This window comes from Homo sapiens, chromosome 2, assembly GCF_000001405.40.
Source record: "Homo sapiens chromosome 2, GRCh38.p14 Primary Assembly".
In the NCBI taxonomy this organism is placed as follows: domain Eukaryota; kingdom Metazoa; phylum Chordata; class Mammalia; order Primates; family Hominidae; genus Homo; species Homo sapiens.
In genome coordinates, this window is record NC_000002.12 from 152,173,562 (window position 1) to 152,195,711 (window position 22,150).

At 41.9% G+C, this 22,150-nt stretch overlaps 1 protein-coding gene and 2 long non-coding RNA genes across 4 annotated transcripts in view, besides 4 other annotated features; 1 reads left to right on the forward strand and 2 right to left on the reverse strand.

Annotated features, from left to right (window-relative positions):
* Positions 1-2,202, reverse strand: part of STAM2 (signal transducing adaptor molecule 2) — a 58,963-nt gene extending 56,761 nt beyond the window's left edge. The window contains exon 1 of the mRNA NM_005843.6: positions 2,042-2,202. Within this exon, the coding sequence (NP_005834.4) occupies positions 2,042-2,081 (40 nt within the window). The 5' untranslated portion in view covers positions 2,082-2,202. The remainder of the gene's footprint in view (positions 1-2,041) is intronic.
* Positions 1,740-1,789: an enhancer, noted in NCBI's record as "active region_16645". NCBI's record gives its function as "activates an Ori minimal core promoter by ATAC-STARR-seq in GM12878 lymphoblastoid cells {active_cell/tissue: GM12878}" and the evidence as "EXISTENCE:reporter gene assay evidence [ECO:0000049][PMID:35858748]".
* Positions 1,840-1,979: an enhancer, noted in NCBI's record as "active region_16646". NCBI's record gives its function as "activates an Ori minimal core promoter by ATAC-STARR-seq in GM12878 lymphoblastoid cells {active_cell/tissue: GM12878}" and the evidence as "EXISTENCE:reporter gene assay evidence [ECO:0000049][PMID:35858748]".
* On the forward strand, positions 1,972-17,126 carry LOC105373689 (uncharacterized). Of its 2 annotated transcripts, none has more exons than XR_923477.3 (3): positions 1,972-2,996; positions 9,244-9,364; positions 17,109-17,126. It is a non-coding gene; the product is annotated as an uncharacterized LOC105373689 (long non-coding RNA). The 2 variants fall into 2 exon arrangements; XR_923476.3 differs by lacking the exon at positions 17,109-17,126 and adding an exon at positions 14,991-15,450.
* Positions 2,140-2,559: an enhancer, noted in NCBI's record as "active region_16647". NCBI's record gives its function as "activates an Ori minimal core promoter by ATAC-STARR-seq in GM12878 lymphoblastoid cells {active_cell/tissue: GM12878}" and the evidence as "EXISTENCE:reporter gene assay evidence [ECO:0000049][PMID:35858748]".
* Positions 2,140-2,663: an enhancer, noted in NCBI's record as "H3K27ac hESC enhancer chr2:153032215-153032738 (GRCh37/hg19 assembly coordinates)". NCBI's record gives its function as "activates a minimal SCP1, AML or CMV promoter by ChIP-STARR-seq in primed H9 embryonic stem cells {active_cell/tissue: H9 hESC(primed)}" and the evidence as "EXISTENCE:reporter gene assay evidence [ECO:0000049][PMID:30033119]".
* Positions 5,299-7,157, reverse strand: LOC105373688 (uncharacterized). The gene is made up of 2 exons (XR_923475.1): positions 7,119-7,157; positions 5,299-5,402 (listed from the first exon to the last, which is right to left on the reverse strand). It is a non-coding gene; the product is annotated as an uncharacterized LOC105373688 (long non-coding RNA).
* Positions 17,127-22,150: the final 5,024 nt, after the last annotated feature.

The following is a 22,150-nucleotide window of genomic DNA, read 5'->3' on the forward strand; positions in this document are numbered from 1 at the left end:
AATTTTTTGTATTTTGGTAGAAACGGGGTTTCACCATGTTGGTCAGGCTGGTCTCAAACTCCCGACCTCCAGTGATTTACCCGCCTCGGCCTCCCAAAGTGCTGGGATTACAGGCGTGAGCCGCTGCGCCTGACCCTTGCTTTGTATTAACGATTTGAAATGAAAAGTTTTAAGATATTAAAAACGTAATATATAATTTTTCTTCTATGATATACGTGCAAGTCCAATTTGAGCTCTTTAGTATTTCATTCTACTTTTTCTAATTCCATTCTCTTGTCCAGAAGTTACAGGAGGGCCTCAAATTCATTCTTTCACCCTTAAAATGCCTTTGGGGTTCTGAATTCAGTCATGCTTAAGCTAATATGTAACTACTTGAAGCTCTGGCTTATGGCACTGGCCATAAAATAATCTAGACACAGTTTTTTTGTTTGTTTGTTTTTTTAATCTCAACAGCAGTGCCTCCTTTACAACTGTAGGACTAAACTGTGATCCACTAAACCAATGCTGGGGCCTCGGGAGCCAGGCAGGGAAAGGTTTAGAACAGAACAGACAGAGCAACTCTGCCTACTTGTACCAGAGAATTTTTCCATCAGAAAACAATGAACTTTCAAGAAAAATTTATATTGAAGAAAAGAATTCACGGTTTTTAAGTTTTAAAATCATTTGTCTAATTCTATTTTGCGCCTTCTGTTTTATTTCATTAGAACAGAATCAAAGTGTTCATAATAGCAATTTTTTAAAAGTACAGGTTGCACAAAGGTTGTATGATTCAAACAAAAGAATACTGCAATGAGGCGTTCCAAAAGGAAACAGTGAGCCTTAAGAGTGATGTTTCCCAGATTTACGCCAGTCACCTGTATTCATCCACCAAAAAAAAAGTTTAATGAAGTAAGGAACATACATATTTGAACTATTTACATATATTATTTGACTCAAACATGTTTTTTAAAATGGCTTAGGGGATTACACAACGTATCAGAATAGGGCACTTTCTACAGTCTCCTAATAACCAAATGTTAACTATGAAACAGGGGAATTACTGCTGAGATGTGCAGTATTCTTCTGAGTCTCCCCGCCCCAACCCCATTTCCAAGTTCTAAAAATTTACCTAGGGTTCTGTTAACTACTGCTACAAAAACAAACAAAAAACAAACCTGTAGTCCCAGCTACTCGGGAAGGGGAAACGGAGGTGGAGGCTGAGGTGGGAGGAATTCTAGTCGCACCTGGGCAACATAGTGAGACCCAGACTTTCGAGAATACATACATATATTTCTCAGTTTGTTTTAGTGTTACTCAAATTTCCTAAATAATTTCGTATATATCTTATCCATGTTTTTCTCATTCTATAGTCACTGAGAGACCAGCGCTTTATGACTGCAACATGTAAAATACTTGTTGTTCTGGAGTGTTTTGAGACTGGAGATTTCCTTTTCATACTCTAAAACCGAACATCTCCTAGCACCCGCGCAATCTTTGCAATCCGGGGATGAAGAGCAACACCTTTACAATTGTAATAAATCTTAAAGCTACCCTATCAGGGATTGAATGCATGAGTAATATAAATAATGGGGAAGTAAGTTCTTCCTATTCAATGCGGTTGTCTAGGTGTCAAGTGTCTAGTGTTGGGCTTCTCTAGACAGCAGGGTCTCCACTGCTGCATCATCTTCAGAAAACGATGGGGCAAAGACGGAGGTAACCAGCTGTCGAACGAGCAGGAAGTTTTTAATCACCAACTCCACAACTACTTAATCAGTCCAGTCTCCAGCGAGCCCTAGGCTCTTCCCAAATCCTACGCTTGGCAAGGAGAACGGCCCTTTGAGGGTCCCCAAACTCAGGCGGCAGGAAGCACTCCCCAGACCGCTAGCGACGCGCCGAGGTTGCCCCAGAAAAATCCCAACGTCGAAGGAGCGGGCGGCACCGCCCCTCCCCTCCCTTCGCTTTGCTTCCTAGTCCCCGGAGTCGCTACCGCCCACTTTCTAGCCGGACAAACAGCAGTCCAGGGCCAGGCACACAGCAGTCCAGGACCGGGCACAGCACTCACCCACGTCTTGCTCGAAGGGGTTGGCGGTGAACAAAGGCATCTCGCCGGCGCCCGAGCCCTAGTCGCTGCTGTCTAGCTGACACTCAGCAACTGCTACCCGCCGGGTGACCCGCGGCCGCGGCTCCCTAGACCGCTCCGCTTCGGCCTCCGTCCCTGCACTTCCGCCACCGCACCTGCCCGGCTCTTGCCTGACAGGCCGGCTCGGAGTCCACCCTTCGATCCCGCGCTCCTGTCCCAACTTTTCTCCCGGGGCGAGATCCCTCCGACCATGGGCGTCCTCCCAAGGCCTTTGTCGCTGCCCCTGTCCCAGACTTTTGTAGGGGTCAGGCGGCCGCTACGGCCACCTTTCCAGCGCTAGGACCCCGGCTAGCCACGAAGCCGGGGACCTTCGGAGCCGGAAGTAGTCCCGCCTGGAACTGGACGACCCCGGAAGCTGCAGTGCCAGCGGCGGCGCGGCAGGGGGCGCGGTTACCCGTGGTTTTTCGCGTTGGACGACGGGCTCTGAGGGCCAAGTTCTTGTCACGAATTTAGTTTGTTTCAGAGCGGCAGGACTCGTAGCTAGAGAACGAGGACCCACGACGCGTACGCGTTACAGTCCTGTTTCCCTAGAAACGGAGCTGCCGGCGCGGAGGTGGCTTTGAGATTCTGCGAAAGACCTGACTGCTCTTCAACAATTATTGTGTTGCACCCTCCCAGGCGCCCAGTCCAAACCCCGTCAGAATAACCACCCGGGACAGCGGTGGTCGAAGTAACTACGCCTAACTTTTCGCTTTCCATCGTGTCCCCTCCATAAAAACACTGCTGGGCCCCCGGAATCCAAAGGCGAAGGAGGCACACTCCCTGCCTTAGACTTGTTGAGAGTTTTATAGGGGCAGTGCATAACGTACATGATGGTGTATGACGATTCGGATGGTAGTACGAGTCATAAACTCAAATTCCAACAGCATCCAGCCAGGTATTTAAATGAATGCAAAAGCCCAAGCACCCTTCCCACCCACATATTCTCTGTTCCTCTTAGAAAACTGTAGTAATGATTATGTTGCCTGTCTCTCCTCCTCATTAGATTATAAACTCCCTGATAAGTTTTGGTCACTACTATATCCCCAGCGTCTAAAACAGTGTCCCAAGTAATAGACGCTCAATGCTTTTCGAATGAAGCTGTAACTTTCTAACTGAACAGTGCGTATCTAAAGATGTCAACTACTGGTAAATTGCAGCCATTTATTGAAATGTGGGTCCTACTAGAGTTTGCAATTTTTCAATGATGTTTAAATGTTGAGAATTACTCCAACATTTTAAATAATAGATTAATCAAAACCATTTTACAAACTCTAGTATAAAGACCTGATGCTATAGAGAGCTCATACACATTCAGAAAGGTGGTTGCATTTTATAAAGTTCGGGGCACAAATGAGAAGGAATCGTGCAGAAGGGGCTGTTTTTCATAGAACGTTGAACCTAGGGATGTTCAAGATAAATTGGGAGGCCGGGCATGGTGGCTCACGCATGTAATCCCAGCACTTTGGGAGGCCAAGGCGGGCAGACTGCTTGAGGCCAGGAGTTCAAGACCAGACTGGCTAACATGGCGAAAAACCGTCTCTACTAAAAATACAAAAATTAGCCAGGCATGGTGGCGCAAGCCTGTAATGCCAACTTCTTGGGAGGCTGAGGCACGAGAATCACTTGAGCCCAGGAGGCAGAGGTTACAGTGAGCCAAGATCAGGCAACTGCACTCCAGCCTGGGCAACAGAGCAAGACTCTGTCTCGAAAAAAGAAAAAAAAAAAAGACTTAGAGATTTTTTGGACAGATAAAGACTTTTTGTCTAAGACTTAGTGTTGGAATGGAAAACAAGGCTGACTAGGTATAAGAGGAAACAGATTGACAAGAATTTTAAAGGGCAAGCTGGGAATTTTTTATTTTGATTAAGGCACTCAATAATTATTTAAGGATATTGGGTAGCAGAATAGTAAAAAAAAATTTTTTTTGAGATGGAGTCTCACTCTGTTACCCAGACTGGAGTGCAGTGGCGCGATTTGGGCTCACTGCAAGCTCCGCCTCCTGGGTTCACACCATTCTCCTGCCTCAGGAGAATGGCCAAAACTGGCCATAGACAAAATCTCTGCAGCACTGTGACATGTTCGTGATGGCCATAATGCCCACGCTGGAAGGTTGTGGGTTTACTGGAATGAGGGCAAGGAACCCCTGGCCCTTCCAGGGTGGAAAACCACTTAAAGGCCTTCTTATGCCACAAACAATAGCATGAGTGATCTGTGCCTTAAGGACATGCTCCTGCTGCAGTTAACTAGCCCAACCTATTCCTTTAATTCGGCGCATCCCTTCGTTTCCCTTAAGGGATACTTTTAGTTAATTTAATATCTGTAGAAACAATGCTAATGACTGGCTTGCTGTTAATAAATACGTGGGTAAATCTCTCTTCGGGGCTCTCAGCTCTGAAGGCTGTGAGACCCCTGATTTCCCACTTCACACCTCTATATTTCTATGTGTGTGTCTTTAATTCCTCTAGCGCCGCTAGGTTAGGCTCTCCCCGACCGAGCTGGTCTCGGCAGCCCTTGTTGAAGGAATACTTATGGCAATGGTGATCACCGCTATGGTAGCTACCATTAAATTACTCGTTGTGATTGGTTGTCCCGCTTTCCTCAGGTTTTCTTCTGCCATCTGTGACAGCTTCTTGGTCTGTCCCCAGGTGGGTGGCTGTGTTTGATGGGTATAGCTCACGACAGTTGGGGTCCTTCTCAGTGTCAGTCTCAACATGGCTGCAACCGGGGGGGGGGGTCCTTGGGATCCTCCCAGAATCTCTTCCTTGGCATCTGGCTAATGATAAGGTTTCAGGTGTCTTGATGGTATCCAAATCGGCTGTTGATTTTGGCCTGGAGAAATACAGCATAACCTCTACCCCAAGTTATTATTTTACCTATTTCCCAACTTTTTGTTACCGGATCTCTCCACCAAATCAGTTGTTCTGCTTCTGTCTTTGCATCTGGTTTCTGTAGATGCTGTTCAGCTGCTGATAACATCTGGCCTTCTTTGGGCAGGCTCAAAACATTTAAAGTTAATAATGCTAGATTCAATTGTGTATGGGCTGTCCCATAATCCCTATTTCTCCCCCTTTTTTGTTTTTGTCATTAGTTGTTTATCTGTATGAAATAGTAACAGCATTTTTAATTAATTGTGTGGAATGAACCACGTATGAAGCAGCAGAAATGACATTAATAGGCATATTAAAAGCAGTCCATACCTCAATTACAGCTACAAGCTCCGCTTTTTAAGCTGAAGTATAGGGCGTCTGGAAAACTTTACCTTTTGATCCAGAATAAGAAGCTTTGCCATTACTAGACCCATCTGTGAAACAAGGAAAACACTTAGCAGGCTGCAGGTTGTTTACTGCAGGAATTGTAAATGCAAACTGTTCACAGTCTTGCTCAGCTAAAGGGATAGTAAAGAAATAGTCTTTTAAATCTATGACTATTAGAGGCCAATTTTTTGGAATTATAGCAGGAGAAGGCAATCCTGGCTGTAATGCTCCCTTAGGTTGTATAACTGAATTGATGGCCCTTAAGTCAGTTAACATTCTCCATTTACCTGATTTTTTCTTAATTACAAAAACTGGAGAATTCCAAGGGGAAAATGTTAGAGCTATGTGCCCATTTTCTAATTGTGTAGTAACTAATTTCTCTAAAGCCTCCAGTTTCTCTTTACTTAGCGGCCATTGTTCTATCCAAATTGGCTTATCTGTTAACCATTTTAAAGGTATAGGTTCTGGAGGCTTAACAATGGCCATCAAAAATGATATCCTAATCTTTGGCAGGAATTTTGTCTTTCTGCTTGAAGCAGTTCTTGCAAACCTTGCAAATTTTTTTTTTCTAGTCCCATACCAGGGACATACCCCATTTCATGCATTGTATGTTGACTTCGAGGGCTATATAATTGTTCTGGAATTAGAACTTGTGCTCCCCATTGTTGTAACAAATCTCTTCCCCATAAATTTATAGGTGCAGAAGTTATAATTGGTTGAATAGTCCCAGGTTGTCCATCAGGCCCTTCACAATGCAAAATATAACTACTTTGATATACTTCAGGGGCTTTACCAACTCCAACTATGTTAAATTGAGCGGGTTGAATTGGCCACACAGACGGCCACTGCTGTAGAGAAATGATTGAAATGTCCGCTTCTGTATCTACCAAACCTTTAAATTTCTTTCCCTGAATAGTTATTTCACAGGTAGGACATTTATCAGTAATTTGATTTACCCAATAAGCTGCTTTGCCTTGTTTATTTGTGCTTCCAAATCCTCCTGTTCGTTTAATTTCACTTTTTCCCATTCCCACATACGGCACGATCAGGAGCTGTGCTATGCACTCTCCTGGCTCTGCTTTCCAGGGAACAGAAGTAAATATAACAATTTGAATTTCCCCATTGTAATCTGAATCAGTGACTCCTGTATGTATTTGTACCCCTTTTAAACTTAAATTAGACCTTCCTAAAAGTAATCCTATTGTCCCCATTGGCAAAGATCCACAGACTCCTGTTGGAACCTTTTGCAGGGATTCCCCAGGCAGAAGGCTCACAGCTTTTGTGCAGCATAAGTCTACCGTGGCACTACCAGCTGTGGCAGGGGACAGACATTGTACAGGGGTGAGGGAATGGCCTGAGCCATTCTGGAATCCCCTATATGGCAGCCTGACTCGCTGATTATTTCTATATCCTTTTTTAGTATTAATAGCTTGTTTAAATTTTTTTAGTAATTTAAAAGGAAAAGGCTCAAATGTAGCTATAATATTTCCCTGTTGATCTGGGGGGTGTATTCTAACAGCAAAATGCCAAGCCTCTAAATCAACCTCTTGTGTAGCTTGCTAAATTCCTGCTTGAATAGAACTGAGAGCAGTCGCTTAAGGCACTTCTCGAACAGTCACTGGGGCAACTACTTTTCGCCCAGTGTCTTCCAGGAAAGAAAGATCTGGAGGGTCATTTTCTTCAAAATAATAGGGAGGGGATGCAGAAGGGTGGGGATGAACCTCTCCCTGCTTTGCCGCTTTAGCTTTAGGTGGCAAACAAACCTGCTCTGTAACCTCTTCTGTTATTTCGTTATACTCTCCTTCCTCCTCATCATCAGCGTGAAAAAGTTCCAAGATGGAACGAACCACACCCCGCACTTGTCCCATTGTTACCCTGACGCTTCCGAGCTCCCCTTCTTACTCACCACGGGGATTGCTTTAAGAGTACTTGGGTGTCCTCCAGCTAGTTCCATGTTTTCCAACTGTCACTCTGGCGACCCTTCAACCTGGATTCGAGCCCCCCACAATGGATGCCACTTGCCGAGACCAGCTTGGTCAGGGAGACCCTAACCCAGTGGTGCTAGAGGAATTAAAGACACACACATAGAAATATAGAAGTGTAAAGTGGGAAATCAGGGTCTCACAGCCTTCAGAGGTGAGAGCCCCGAACAGAGATTTACCCACCTATTTATTAACAGCAAGCCACTCATTAGCATTGTTTCTATAGATATTAAATTAACTAAAAGTATCCCTTAAGGGAAACGAAGGGATGGGCTGAATTAAAGGAATAGGTTGGGCTAGTTAACTGCAGCAGGAGCATGTCCTTAAGGCACAGATCGCTCATGCTATTGTTTGTGGCTTAAGAATGCCTTTAAGCAGTTTTCCGTCCTGGGTGGGCCAGGTGTTCCTTGCTGTCATTCCAGTAAACCCACAACCTTCCAGCGTGGTCATTTTGGCCATCATGAACATGTCACAGTGCTGCAGAGATTTTGTTTATGGCCAGTTTTGGGGCCAGTTTATGGCCAGATTTTGGGGGCCTGTTCCCAATAGAGGTGGGAAGATCACCTGAGCCCAGGATTTCAGGGTTACAGTGAGCTATGATTGTGCCACTGCACTGCAGCCTGGGTGAAAGAGTGAGACCCTGTTGCAAAAAAAAAAAAAGAAGTAATTTTTTATAAAGAGCAGAAAGCTGAGGATTTGCCTTTGGAAAGCATTCATTTTTATTTATTATTATTATTATTATTATTATTATTATTATTATTATTATTGAGACAAGTTCTTGCTCTGTCACCCAGGCTGGAGTGCAGTGGCGCAATCTTGGCTCACTGCACCCTCTGCCTCCCAAGTTCAAGCAATTCTTCTGCCTCAGCTTCCCATGTAGCTGGGACTACAGGCGCGGGCCACCATGCCTGTCTAATTTTTCTATATTTGGTAGAGATGGAGTTTCACCATGTTGTCCAGGCTGGTCTCAAACTCCTGACCTCAAAGTGATCTATCCGCCTCGGCCTCCGAAAGTGCTGAGATTACAGGTGTGAACCACCGCTCCCAGCCACATTCGTGTTTTAAAAAGACTCTTTTAATTCCTCCTGTTTAAAAGCAAGTATACTCAAGGATCTATAGGTATTTTTTTTCTATGTATATACTCAGTTCCTCAGTGAGTTCCTCTAATTAACAAAGTTTTTTTTCATCTTTTGTAATTAACAACATTTTTAATAGTTACCGGGAGCAGACCCTGTGTTAGAAACGAGGATACAATAATTGTTCACTGTTGCTTCATCTTAGGAAGTAATTGGGCAATTAAAAAATATTTCAGTGGCAGTCTAAAAATTGTGGTGTGCAAAGAATTTGAAAACCAGTTTACAAAAAAAAAAAAAAAAATCTAGAGGCTTGGTGGCATGCACCTGTAGCATCAGCTACTTTGGAGGATGAGGCAGAAGGATTGCTTGAGCTAGGGCAGTCAAGGCTGTAGTGAGCCATGATCATGTCACTGCACCCCAGCCTGGATGACAGAGGGAGACCCTGTCTCAAAAAGAAGCAAAAAAAAAAAAAGAAGAAGAAGAAGAAAAAGAAAAATAAAATATTTTATTTACCTTTATTTATCTTTTTTTTTTTTTTCTGGAGACAACATCTCTCTCTCTGTGTCACCTGGGCTGGAGTGCAGTGGCACAATTATACCTCATTGCAGCCTCAAACTCCTGAACTCAAGCAGTCTTCCTGCCTCAGCCTCCAAAGTAGTTGGGACTACAGGTACGCACCACTGACCCTAGCTCATTTTTTTTTTTTGTAGAGACAGGGTCTCACTATGTTGCCCAGGCTGTTTACCTTTATTGATTCCTTCTCTAATGCTCTTCGTTTTTAAAATGTTGATCCAAGTTTCTGACCTGCATCATATTCTTTCTCTCTCAAGGACTTTTAAAATTCCTTGCAACGCAAGTCTACTGGTGACAAATTCCCTCAAATTTTGTTTGCCTGAGAAAGTCTTTCGCCCTCACTGTTGAAGGATAATTTCACTGGATACAGAATTCTAGGTGAGTGGTTTTTTTTTTTCTTTCAATACCTTAAATATTTCACTTTTCTCTTCTCTTGCTTGCACAATTTCTGAAGAGAAGTCTAATGTAATTCTTATCCTTACTCCTCTGTAGGCAAATTGTGGTTTTTTTTTCTCCTTTTTGCTTCTTTCAAGATTTTCTGTCTTCAATTTTCTACAGATTGAACATGATTATGGTTAGGTGCAGATTTTTTGTTATTTATACTGTTTAGTGTACTCTGAGCTTCCTGGATCTGTGGTTTTGTATCCTTCGTTAATTTGGGGAAATTCTCAGTCATTGTTGCTTCAAATTTTCTTCTTTTCTTCTCCCTCTGGTATTTCTGTTATGTATATGTTACATCTTTTGTAATTCTCCTCCCATTTTTGGATATCTGATTTTTTCTTTTTTTCTCTGTGCATTTCGGTTTTAGAAGTTTTTTTTTTTTTTTTTTTCAGTTTTAGAAGTTTCTTGTGACATTTTTTCAGGCTCAGATTCTTTGTCTCTGAAGTTTATTGATGGAGCCCATCAAAGACATTCTTCCTTTCTGTTAGTGTTTTTTATCTCTAGCATTTCCTTTTGATTCTTTCTTAGAGTTTCTATCATTCTGCTTACACTACCCAGCTGTTCTTGCATAATGTTGATTTTTTTCCATTACAGCCCTTAACATATCAATCATAGTTAATTTAAATTCCTTGTATGATAATTCTATTATACATATTCTAATAACATTCTTGCTATACCTGATTCTGATTCTGATGTTTGCTCTGTCTTTTCAAACTGCATTTTTTGTCTTTTGTTAAGTGTTGTCTTTTTGTGAAAACAGGACAACATTTACTGGGTAAAAGGAACTGAAGCAAACAGGCCTTTAGTATGAGGTTTTATGTTTATTTGGCTAGGGATTAGGCTGTGTTTACTGCTTGCTATAGCATTAAGTGTCAAAGGCTGATTTCCTTGTTTTTGTCTCCTCTGTTGTCTTTGGGTTCTTGAGACTTAAATAAGGTCTGAGAGTAGGTCTCAATTCTTTAGTGAGCCTGTGCCTCTGCTATGAACTTCACAAGTGCTTTCTGGCCATGTGTGGTGGCTCATGCCTGTAATTTCAGCACTTTGGGAGACTGAGGTGGGAGGATCACTCGAGCTCAAGAGTTCAAGACCAGCCTGGGCAACATAGCAAGACCCTGTCTCTACAATAAATTAAAAAAAAAAAAAAGCTGGGTATGGTGGTGCACACCTGCAGTCCTAGCTACTTGGGAAGCTGAGGTGTGATGATCGCTTGAGCTAGGGAGATGAGGGCTGTAGTGAGCCGTGATCGCACCACCTACACTCCAGCCTGAGCGACACAGTGAGACCCTATCTAAAACAAAACAACCACCACCACCACAACAAAAACACAGGTGCTTTCTGTCCCTCTCCCCCTACCTACCTCCCCATCCCCAGTCTCCAGTTTTGGTGAGACAAGAAGGCTTAGGGGAAGCTAGAGTTGAGAATTTCCCTTCCACCAGCTAGGTTAGGCTCTGGTAAAACCCTAATTGCTTAGGCTCGGGTCAGATAGTTTCTCTTGAGGATGTTCTTTAAGAACATAATTCTGTGGGATTATTCAGAATAATTTCTTTTCCTCTCCCCCTTCCAGAAACACACAGTGATTTCTCTTACTGTGAACCAGATTGAATTCCTGGAGGTAAAACTCACAAAACCGTGGGGACCCTCCAATAACTAGGCCCCCATGGAGTTTTTAACTCTCAGACTTGTCTACACTGAGCCTCCAGCAATCTGTCAGTGGCAGTTCAGGTTTTCCTACCCCAGCCACTGGTCCCCAAGGACGTTTCTGCTCGTGGGTTTCCTCCAATAAATTGTGATCCTCTGTATCTATCTATCTCTCCAATTTTGAGGGCAGTAGTTTGCCCTGTGACCTTAGCTCTCTACTGGGTATAAAATGCTCCAGAAATAAACGCTTGGTGCCGTGAAGTAAAACCAGCACTCAGGCAAAAGTTTAATTCTCTCAGCAAGGCAATTTACTTCTGCAGAAGGGTGCCACTTGGGTCAATCAAGATCACAGGAGCACAGAGAACAAAGGAGACCAGGGGGTTTTTATCCTTAATGCAGTCCCTATCTCTGTGTCACTCCTCCATGGGCTGAGGTCAGACTGCACAATCTGAGCTGACCCGATTGGCTACTTGTACATATTTTCCTAAATATAGAAGGGGAGGGGGATGTGAGGTACAGAGGTGGAGCGTGTGGGATGTGCAGTTTTGGGGGAACAATTGGTACAGGTAACACGGGAACAGATGTGAGTTATTGATTAGAGCTGACGGGAAGTGGGTAGGCTGTTTACGGTAACTAGGGGCAAGGAAGAACAAGAAAGCTGAGTTTGAGAACAAAGGATAAGGAAGTTAACAGGCTAAACCCTTGAAGAGAAACTCAGAAAGATTTATTGTATCTTACATTCTCTGATGGATCTAAAAAGAGTTATTGATTTTTACTTTGTTCAGTTGTTTTCCTTGTGTGGATAGGAGTGGTGACTTCTAAGCTTCCATGCCCGATTAGAACCCAGAAATCAGCTCCCTTTCTTCTATCTCTCTCTTTTTTTTTTTTTTTTTAAGACAGGATCTCAGTCTGTCACCCAGGCTGGAGTGCAGTGTGGCACAATCTCAGCTCGCCGCAATCTCAACCTCCCGAGTTCAAGAGATGCTCCTACCTCAGCCTCCTGAGTAGCTGGCACTACAGGCATGCACCACCATGCCCTGCTAATTTTTGTGTGTGTGGTTTTTTTTGCTTTTCGTTTTTTTTGAGATGGAGTCTTGCTCGTTGCCCAGGCTGGAGTGCAGTGGCACGATCTTGGCTCACTGCAACCTCTGCCTCCCTGGCTCAAGTGATCCTCCTGCCTCAGCCTCCCAAGTAGCTGGGACTACAGGCGTATGCCATCACGCCCAGCTAATTTTTGTATTTTTAGTAAAGACAGGGTTTCACCATGTTGGACAGGCTGGTCTTGAGCTCGTAGGCTCAAGTGATCTGCCCCCCTTGGCCTCCCAAAGTGCTAGGACTGCAGGCATGCACTACCACACCCAGCCCTTTCTATCACTTTTCTATTATAAGTGCCGCAGTGTGTTAGACCAGCATACTGGAAACCTTGGAATAAACTCTGACTTTGCTCTGATTTTGCCATTTTAAAAATTTTTTAATTAAATTTTTAATTTTTTGGATTTCTTTTTTCAAATTTTGTTTTTGCTGTTTTTTCTCTTTCTTTTGGCATTGCCTCCATTATAGCACAGGCTTCCATTTCCTCCATGCCTTCCAATTTCTTCGTTTTAAAAGAGAGTGCCCAAACTTGGGAGTGAGAAGAGGCTGGAGTCTACTTCGTGCTCTGTTAACTAAGTTAAATACCCATAAGGCTGCATCCTTCCTAGACAGGGAGGCTTTTTTTCTAGTCATCGAAAGAAATCATGTGGGCTAGCCTACCCCTGCACACAACAGTCTACTTAATATCCTGAAATACCACTTTTGTAATTTTGTTCTCTTCCTTGAGAGTCTACTGGATTTTACATGCCATAAAAAGGTCAAGCTGGGGTGTCACTGTCTCTGGTAAATGACTCATTTTTCCCTATCTAACAGGCTTATTTTCTATAGCTTAAAGCTTCCGTTTTTGGAGTCACATAAAATTTCAAATCACAGCTGTGTTTGAACAAATACTTAAGTTTTAGGGACTTCAGTTTTCTTTCTTTTCTTTCTTTTTTTTTTTTTTTTGACAGAGTTTCGCTCTTGTCACCTAGGCTGGAGTGCAATGGCGTGATCTCAGCTCACTGCAACCTCTGCCTCCCGGGTTCAAGCAATTCTCCTGCCTTAGCCTCCTGAGTAGCTGGGATTACAGGCGCCCGCCACCACGCCCAGCTAACTTTTTGTATTTTTAGTAGAGACAGGGTTTCACCATGTTGGCCAGGCTGGTCTTGAACTCCTGACCTCAGGTGATCCACCTGCCTCAGCCTTCTAAAGTACTGGGATTACAGGCGTGAGCCACCGCGCCTGGCCCTTTAACTATATACGTTATTATTTATTTATTTATTTATTTTGTGTTTGGAGACAGAGTCTCAAAATATAAAACATTTAATATAAATAAAATATATTAAATTTAAAAATACTTTATTTATTTATTTATCTTTTGAGACAGTCTTATTCTGTCACCCATTCTGTCACACCCAGTGGTGTGATCTCAGCTCACTGCAGCTTTGACCTCCGGGGCTTAAGTGATCCCCCCACCTCAGACCTCCAAGTAGCTGGGACTACAGGCACATGCCACCATGCCTGGCTAATTTTTGTATTTTTTGTAGAGATGGGGTCTCACTATGTTGTCCAGCTGGTCTTGCATTCCTGGGCTCAAGCAATCTGCCCGCCTTAACCTCCCAAAGTGCTGGGATTACAGGCATGAGCCACCACACCTGACTACTATATACTTTATAAGGTTGCCGTGAAAATTAAATGGGATTATGAGAGCTTTTTGTATAGTAAATACTCAATAGCACTCACTATAGTACAATAGAACTTTTTTGCGATGATGGATGTGTTTTTTGTTCTTTGTTTTTTTTTTGTTTTTTTTTTTTTTTTTTTGAGAAGGAGTCTTGCTCTGTTGCCAGGCTGAAGGGCAGTGGTGCGATCTCAGCTCACTGCAACCTCTTCCTCCCGGATTCAAGCACTTCTCCTGCCTCAGCCTCCCGAGTAGCTGGCACTACAGGCACGCACCACCATGCCCAGCTAACTTTTTATATTTTTAGTAGAGATGGGCTTTCACCAGGTTGGCCAGGATGGTCTCGATCTCTTGGCCTTGGGATCCACCCACCTTGGCCTCCCAAAGTGCTGGGATTACAGGCATGAGCCACCGTGCCCGGCCGGATATGTTTTATATTTGCATTGCTCAATACAAATACCAACAGGCATATGTGACTGTTGATCACTTGAAATGTAACTATTGCAACTGAGGAACTTAATTTTTAATTTTATTTCATTTTAAATGCAAATACCCACATGTGGCTGCCTAGTAGCTAGTGTAATAGAGTGCTCTACACCATACTTGAAAATCAGTTCAAGGAGAAATAGGAGTGTCTTCCATCTCTGTTATTTGCTTTATGATATTTCACTTTCCAAAAATGCATGCTTACTTCTTTCACCTATCTTCATCTTTTATCTCTTTTCATTTTTCACATCTGGAAATTTAAGAATCCATTCAACAGCCCATCTTCTCCAGAAATATTCCTCAGTTGATCCCAATCTACATGTTTTTCACGTTTCTGAAACTTTTATTGAACATGGGTCAACATTGCACTGGTTAGCACTTAATATTCTTCTAACCTATCTTGTGTGATTGTTGGAACTTCCCAAGAGCACAGTATCAGGATCTCTGTGGCTTTTAATTCTGTGTCCTCCCTTTCAAGACCAATTAGCCCATTACTTAGAATACTTAAACACTGATTTGTGTCTCCCCAACACTCACATGTTGAAATCCAATTCCCAGTAAGATAGTATTTGAAAGTGGGATTTGGGGGAGGTAATTAGGTCATGAGAGTGGAATCCTCATGAATAGAATTAGTGCCCTTATAAGAAGAGGCCAGAAACCTCTCTTGCTCTCTTTACTTCATGTTAGGACACAATGAGAAGTCAGCAGTTTGCAACCAAAAGAGTGTCCTCTCTAGAATCTGACCAGGCTGACACAGCAATCTACAACTTCCAGCCTCCAGAACTGTGAGAAATAAATTGCTGTTATTTATAAGACACCCAGTCTGTGGTACTTTGTTATAGCAGCCTAACATGACTAAAACACACTGAATAACCCAATGTTTGAGTGATTACCTGTCCTTTACTTCTCTTATCCATTCCTCTTGCCTTCCAATTCCTGCTACCATTGTCTAGAAGTTGGCTGAAAGGAACAAAGAGCACCTGATCAGTTATCTAATAACATTTATTACTTTTTTATTTCCTACATTGTGTTACTTTATCTCTCTCACTCCTGCATGATGAATAAAATCATTTTTTTCAGAGGCATTACGCTTTTCACACTTTATTTAGTAAATATTGGGCACCTACCATGTCCAAAATACTAGCAGTAGGGGCAAGGGTTGATTAGAGGGGAGGCATGAAAATAACGTAATCACTGCCCTCAGTGACTCATATTCAGGCAAGGAGAAAATGATTTATAAAAGTAGTTAATGGAAGAGAATACATAGGAATAAGGGGAATTCCATGTGGAGGCCAAGTGTAGAGTAATGGTATTTTGCTTTGTACCCACTGGAAATTATATTTTAGTGCCCAGTTGAGGTAGTTAGTCCAACAAATTTGATGTTGGGAATACTTCTGATTGTAATTGAGAACTATTATCTCAAACTAAATTGTTACAAATTGGAGTTTGAATCTTTAGAAAGAAAAAAAGAGAGAGAGAAGCTATGTATAGACCATCTAGAAAAAAGTCATTTTGGAAATCAGCTTATGAAAAAGGTAATATGGGAAAGTAAAACATAAGCAGAAATGATAATAAAATTGATTGGTTAGGTGAAAAGAGTTGAAGGGAAAAAAATGTACAAATTCAGGAAATTGTGTGTACACGTGTGTATTTAAAAAAACCCAAAAACCTTCAGCTAGGCATGGTGACCTATACCTGTGGTCCTAGCTATTCTGGAGGCTGAGGTGGGAAGATCACCTGCAGGAGGTCAAGTCTGCAGTGAACTGTGATCACGCAGCTGCACTCCAGCATGGGCCATACAGCGAGACCCTGTCTCAAAAAAAAATAAAAATAAAAAAATCCCTAAACCAAAAACTTCAAGGAAGGCTATCTTAAAAGCCCATAGATCCTTAGCCAGGCATGGTGGTGCATTCTTGTAGTCTCAGCTACAGGGGAGGATCACTGAGCCCAAGAGTTTGAGCCTAGCCTGGGCTACATAGTAAGACCCCATCTATTAAAAAAAAAAAATTCCCACAGCTCCAAAGGCCTGGCTTCACAGGACTCCTAGCAGACCTGGTTCATTCTATTCAGTAACTATTTTTACTGGCAATTCAGTTCAAGAGTACTGTAACTTGTATGGATGGATCCGCTTAATTTTTACTTCATAATTTATTTAAAACTCTATTATTACTCTCTGTTCATTTTCCTTTGTCATCATCATTACCGCACTCTTCACAGTAGGTGGCAACAGTGCTTCACTCCCAGAATCGACTGAACGGCCTAGAAGTACAAAACAGAGGCAAACATTGAAACAAATTTCAGGATCCTAATTTGGCCAAAAATAAAAGCATTGCCTTATAAGGTCATGTCAGTAATATGCCATTATAATATGCCAATTATGTGCCAAATTGTTATATATTCTACATTCAGTGTTTAGTAAAAATTCATATGTTGAATAATTCATTTTGCCAGTGAATGTCAATAAACCAGGATGTGCTATCTTAAAAATTAATATTCACTTAATCTTTCTTATCATAATATAATAAATTATCTCCTTTATAGTTTAATGTAAAGGTAGGTATTTATTTCTACTTAATTTCACGCGTGCTGGTCATTCAGCAAATGTTTATTATGTCTACTATGACAAGAACTTCATTTCTGCACATGTGCAGAGAAAAGCAGTTATCTGGGTGGTGCACTAAAGACAGATATAATCCAAATTGCACAACATAAGTTGACATTTAAAACATCACTTTAAGGCAATATATGCTATAGAGTAGTAAATTTTAGTTATCCTAACATTTACCTCTTTTTTTTTTTTTTGAGATGGAGTCTTGCTCTGTCACCCAGGCTGGAGTGCAGTGGCGCTATCTCAGCTCACTGCAACCTCCACCTCCCAAGTTCAAGCGATTCTCCTGCCTCAGCCTTTGGAGTAGCTGGAATTACAGGCACATGTCATCACGTCTGGCTAATTTTTGTATTTTTAGTAGAGACAGGGTTTCACCATATCAGCCAGTCTGGTCTCGAACTCCTGACCTCATGATCTGCCCACGTCAGCCTCCCAAAGTGCTGGGATTACAGGCGCGAGCCACCGTGCCCGGCCTAAAGCTTCTTTTAAAATGGCTTATATACTAAATATATACTAAATAGACAATTTTTTAATTTTTTGGTAGAGACAACATCTCACTATGTTGTCCAGGCTGGTCTGAAACTCCTGGGCTCCAGCAATCCTCCTGTCTTGACCTCCCAAAGTGTTGGGATTACAGGTGTGAGCCACTGCATCCAGCTAATTTCAAAGAATATTAAGATCAATGTATAGATGATATATACGTAATGAGTTGCTAGGAAAAAATAGAGGACAGTGTTTTTCAACAAAGCATCTCCATGGTCTGTGGTAGAGCCAAACCTGAGATGCTGAAAGCAGATGTCACATGGAATTAAGTACATTGCTGTATTCACCTAAATATCCTGTTTGCGAATCTTAATACACAACAAAATTACTCCATTAGGACTAACCTTCAGTCATAAGATTCCATATTCCATCTTCCTTATTCCACTTACTCAAAATGAGAACAACCATTGCTTTGTAAATTCATTAGCACCTTAGTAGAATCCAGGCCCATCCCTGGTTAGAGAAATGGCAAAATGAAACCCTAAGTGTAACAAATGAATGACTTTACCACACAAATACTCAACACATGTATTCCCTGTTCTGGCTTCAGTTAGAAAATAAAATGTTTGTGATTTTTGTGTTCATAAAGGGATCTGGAGGCTTAAAAAAAAAGAAAAATGGGCCCTGCACAATGGCTAATGCCTGTAATCCCAGCACTTTGGGAAGCCAAGATGGGAGGATCATTTGAGGCCAGGAGTTCGAGACCAGCCTAGCCAACATGGTGAAAACCCGTCTCTACTAAAAATATAAAAATTAGCCAGGTGGGATGGTATGTGCCTGTAGTCCCAGCTACTGGGGTGGCTGAAGCATAAGAATCACTTGAACCCAGGAGGTTGTAGTGAGCCAAGATCATGCCACTGCACTCAAGCAACGATGTCAGAGCAAGACTGTGTCTTGAAAACAAAACGGAACAAAACAAACAAACAAGACAAATGAAAAATATATCTCTGCTTTAGCTAGTTCCCAAATACCTTTTTTCAAAAGCCTTTTGACTACATCTAATCTAACTATAATACAAATCAGGCTGTGATATTGGGCCAGAGCTAAGAAAAGGATAGTTTTAAAGTACTCCACCATAATCTGTAGTTGACACTTTTTAGTTATGACGACATGAGGTGTTAATATCTGTTTCATAATAATCTGTCCAGTACCACTCATTTAGCCAAATCAAACAACATTGAGATGGCTTTTCAGGTTTTTTTATGCAAAGATTTGCATGACATGCAAGACAATGAAAACAAAGTGTTTAGATATTTTTCACAAATTATCTTAATGTTCTTAAGACATGCAAAGAGAGTGGAACACAGAAGAGGCTCTTCAGAGCATTTAACTTTTTTTTTTTTTTTGAGACAGGCTCTTGCTCTGTCACCAGGACTGGAGCGCAGTGACGCGATCATGGGTCACTGCAGCCTCAACCTCCTGGGCTCAAGCAGTCCTCCCACCTCAGCTTCCTGTGTGTCTGGGACTACTGGCATGTGCCACCATGGCTGGTCAATTAATTTTAAACTTTTTTTTGTGTGTGTGTGGAGATACGTTCTCACTGTGTTGCTCAGGCTGGTTTTGGAACTCCTAGGCTCAAGTGATCCTCCTGCCTTGGCCTCCCAAAGTCCTGGGATTACAGGTGTGTGCCCGGCCTGATTTTTTAAGCAACACAATCAAGTATAAATGATTTCGAATCACTGGAAACAATATGACTCAAAGGACTTTGAAGCTATAATTTTACAGACATGTATACAAGGTCTACAATAATCAGAGCCTTGTGTCTGTTTTACCCTTCCCACAACTCAAAGGAAAGTTGAGGAAAGATCTCAGGAGATGTGCAGGAGCCAGTAGAAATGTGATCTGAGGAACAAGTGCAGACTCTTGCTGAGAAGTAGAGGCAAGGGCAGCACCAAAGAAGCAAAAGTAGGCATCTGTCTAGTCCAGAGGGAAAGACTACAGAAAGAAGACTGGTCAACAAGTCAAGAGCAAGGAGACAAAGAGCAGGCTGGCAAACTAGTATGAGACAAGACAGGGCAAGAAACTAGAGGCTTTTTCCGGAGGGATGCTGCAGGTTTATACACCTGCAGAGAGTAAAGACAGACACTCTGGAAGATAAGAATAGCATCAAACAGTATAAAATGAGGTTGCTGATCTTAAGAAATGGACACTATAGTTGGAGAGACAGGGTTTACACCAATGGAAAGAGAAATAACACCGAACAATAATTCAAGTGGTGTTGCAAAACCTTGTATGATTAGTTAAATACCAAATTATTAGTCAGGGAAGGCTTCAAAGTAGAGAGGAGCTTTGAGTTCAGTCTTTGATGAATGAGAAGAGTTCAAAGAGGTAAAACAAATACGGGGATTAACAGAGTTAATAAAAGGAAGGGGTTCGAAATATATCTGGTATAAGATCAACTAAATGAAATAAAGCATGAAGACAAGATTAGAAAAAAAAGAATGAAAAGGAATGAACAAAGCCTCCAAGAAATATGGGACTATGTGAAAAGACCTAACCTCAGTGATGGGGAGAATGGAACCAAGTTGGAAAACACTCTTCAGGATATTATCCAGGAGAACTTCCCCAACTTAGCAAGACAGACCAACATTCAAATTCAGGAAATACAGAGAACACCACAAAGATACTCCTCGAGAAGAGCAACCCCAAGACACACAATCGTCAGATTCACCAAGGTTGAAATGGAGGAAAAAATGTTAAGGGCAGCCAGAGAGAAAGGTCAGGTTACCCACAAAGGGAAGCCTGTCAAACTAACAGTGGATCTCTTAGCAGAAACCCTGCAAGCCAGAAGATAGTGGGGGCCAATATTCAACCTTCTTTTTTTTTTTTGAGGCGGAGGCTCACCCTGTCACCCAGGCTGTAGTACAGTGGCGTGATCTCAGCTCACTGAACCTCCACCTCCTGGGTTCAAGCGATTCTTCTGCCTCAGCCTCCCGAGTAGCTGGGACTACAGGCACGCAACACCCTGCCTGGCTAATTTTTCTATTTTTAGTAGAGACGGGGTTTCACCATATTGGCCAGACTGGTCTCGAGCTCCTGACTTCGTGATCCACCTGCCTCAGCCTCCCAAAGTACTGGGATTACAGGTGTGAGCCACCACGCTCAGCCTCAACATTCTTAAAGAAAAGAATTTTCAACCCAGAATTTCATATCCAGCCAGACTAAGCTTCATAAGCGAAGGAGAAATAAAATCATTTACAGACAAGCAAATGCTGAGATATTTTGTCACCACCAGGCCAGCCTTACAAGAGCTCTGAAGGAAGCACTAAATATGGAAAGGAAAAACTGGTACCAGCCACTACAAAAACATACCAAATTGTAAAGACCATCGACACTATGAAGAAACTGCATCAACTAATGGGCAAAATAACCAGCTAGCATTATAATGACAGGATCAAATTCACACATAACAATATTAACCTTAAATGTAAATGGGCTTAATGCCCCAATTAAAAGACATGGACTGGCAAACTAGATAGAGTCAAGACCAACTGGTATGCTGTATTCAGGAGACCCATCTCATGTGCAAAGACACACATAGGCTCAAAATAAAGGATGGAGGAATATTTACCAAGCAAATGGAAAGTTAAAAAAAGCAGAGGTTGCAATCCTAGTCTCTGATAAAACAGACCTTAAACCAACAAAGATCAAAAAAGACAAAGAAGGGCATTACATAATGGTAAAGGGATCAACGCAACAAGAAGAGCTAACTATCCTAAATATATATGCACCCAATACAGGAGCACCCAGATTCATAAAGTGAGTTATTAGAGACCTACAAAGAGACTTAGACTCCCACACAATAATAGTGGGAGACTTTAACACCCACTGTCAATATTAGACAGACCAACAAGACAGAAAATTAACAAAGATATTCAGAAATTGAACTCAGTTCTGGACCAAGCGGACCTAATAGACATCTACAGAACTCTCCACCCCAAATCAACAGAATATACATTCTCAGCACCACACCGCACTTATTCTAAAATTGACCACATAATTGGAAGGAAAACACTCCTCAGCAAATGCAGAAGAACTGAAATCATAACAGTCTCTCAGACCACAGCGCAATCAAATTAGAACTCAGGATTAAGAAACTCACTCAAAACCTCACAACTACATGGAAACTGAACAACCTGCTCCTGAATGTCTACTGGGTAACTGAAGAAATTAAGGCAGAAATAAGTTCTTTGAAGCCAATGAGAACAAAGACGCAACATACCAGAATCTCGAGTACACAGCTAAAGCAGTGTTTAGAGGGAAATTTATGGCACTAAATGCCCACAAGAGAAAGTGGAAAAGATCTAAAATTGACACCCTAACATCACAATTAAAAGAACTAGAGAAGCAAGAGCGAACAAATTCAAAAGCTAGCAGAAGACAAGAAATAACTAAGATCAGAGCAGAACTGAAGGAGATAGAGACAAAAAAAAAAAAACCTTCAAAAAATCAATGTATACAGGAGCTGGGTTTTTGAAAAGATTAACAAAATAGATAGACCACTAGCCAGACTAATAAAGAAGAAAAGAGAGAAGAATCAAATAGACACAATAAAAAATGATAAAGGGGATATCACCACTGATCCCAAAGAAATACAAACAACCATCAGAGAATATTATAAACACCTCTATCCAAATAAACTAGAAAATCTAGAAGAAATGGATAAATTCCTGGACACCTACACCCTCCAAATACT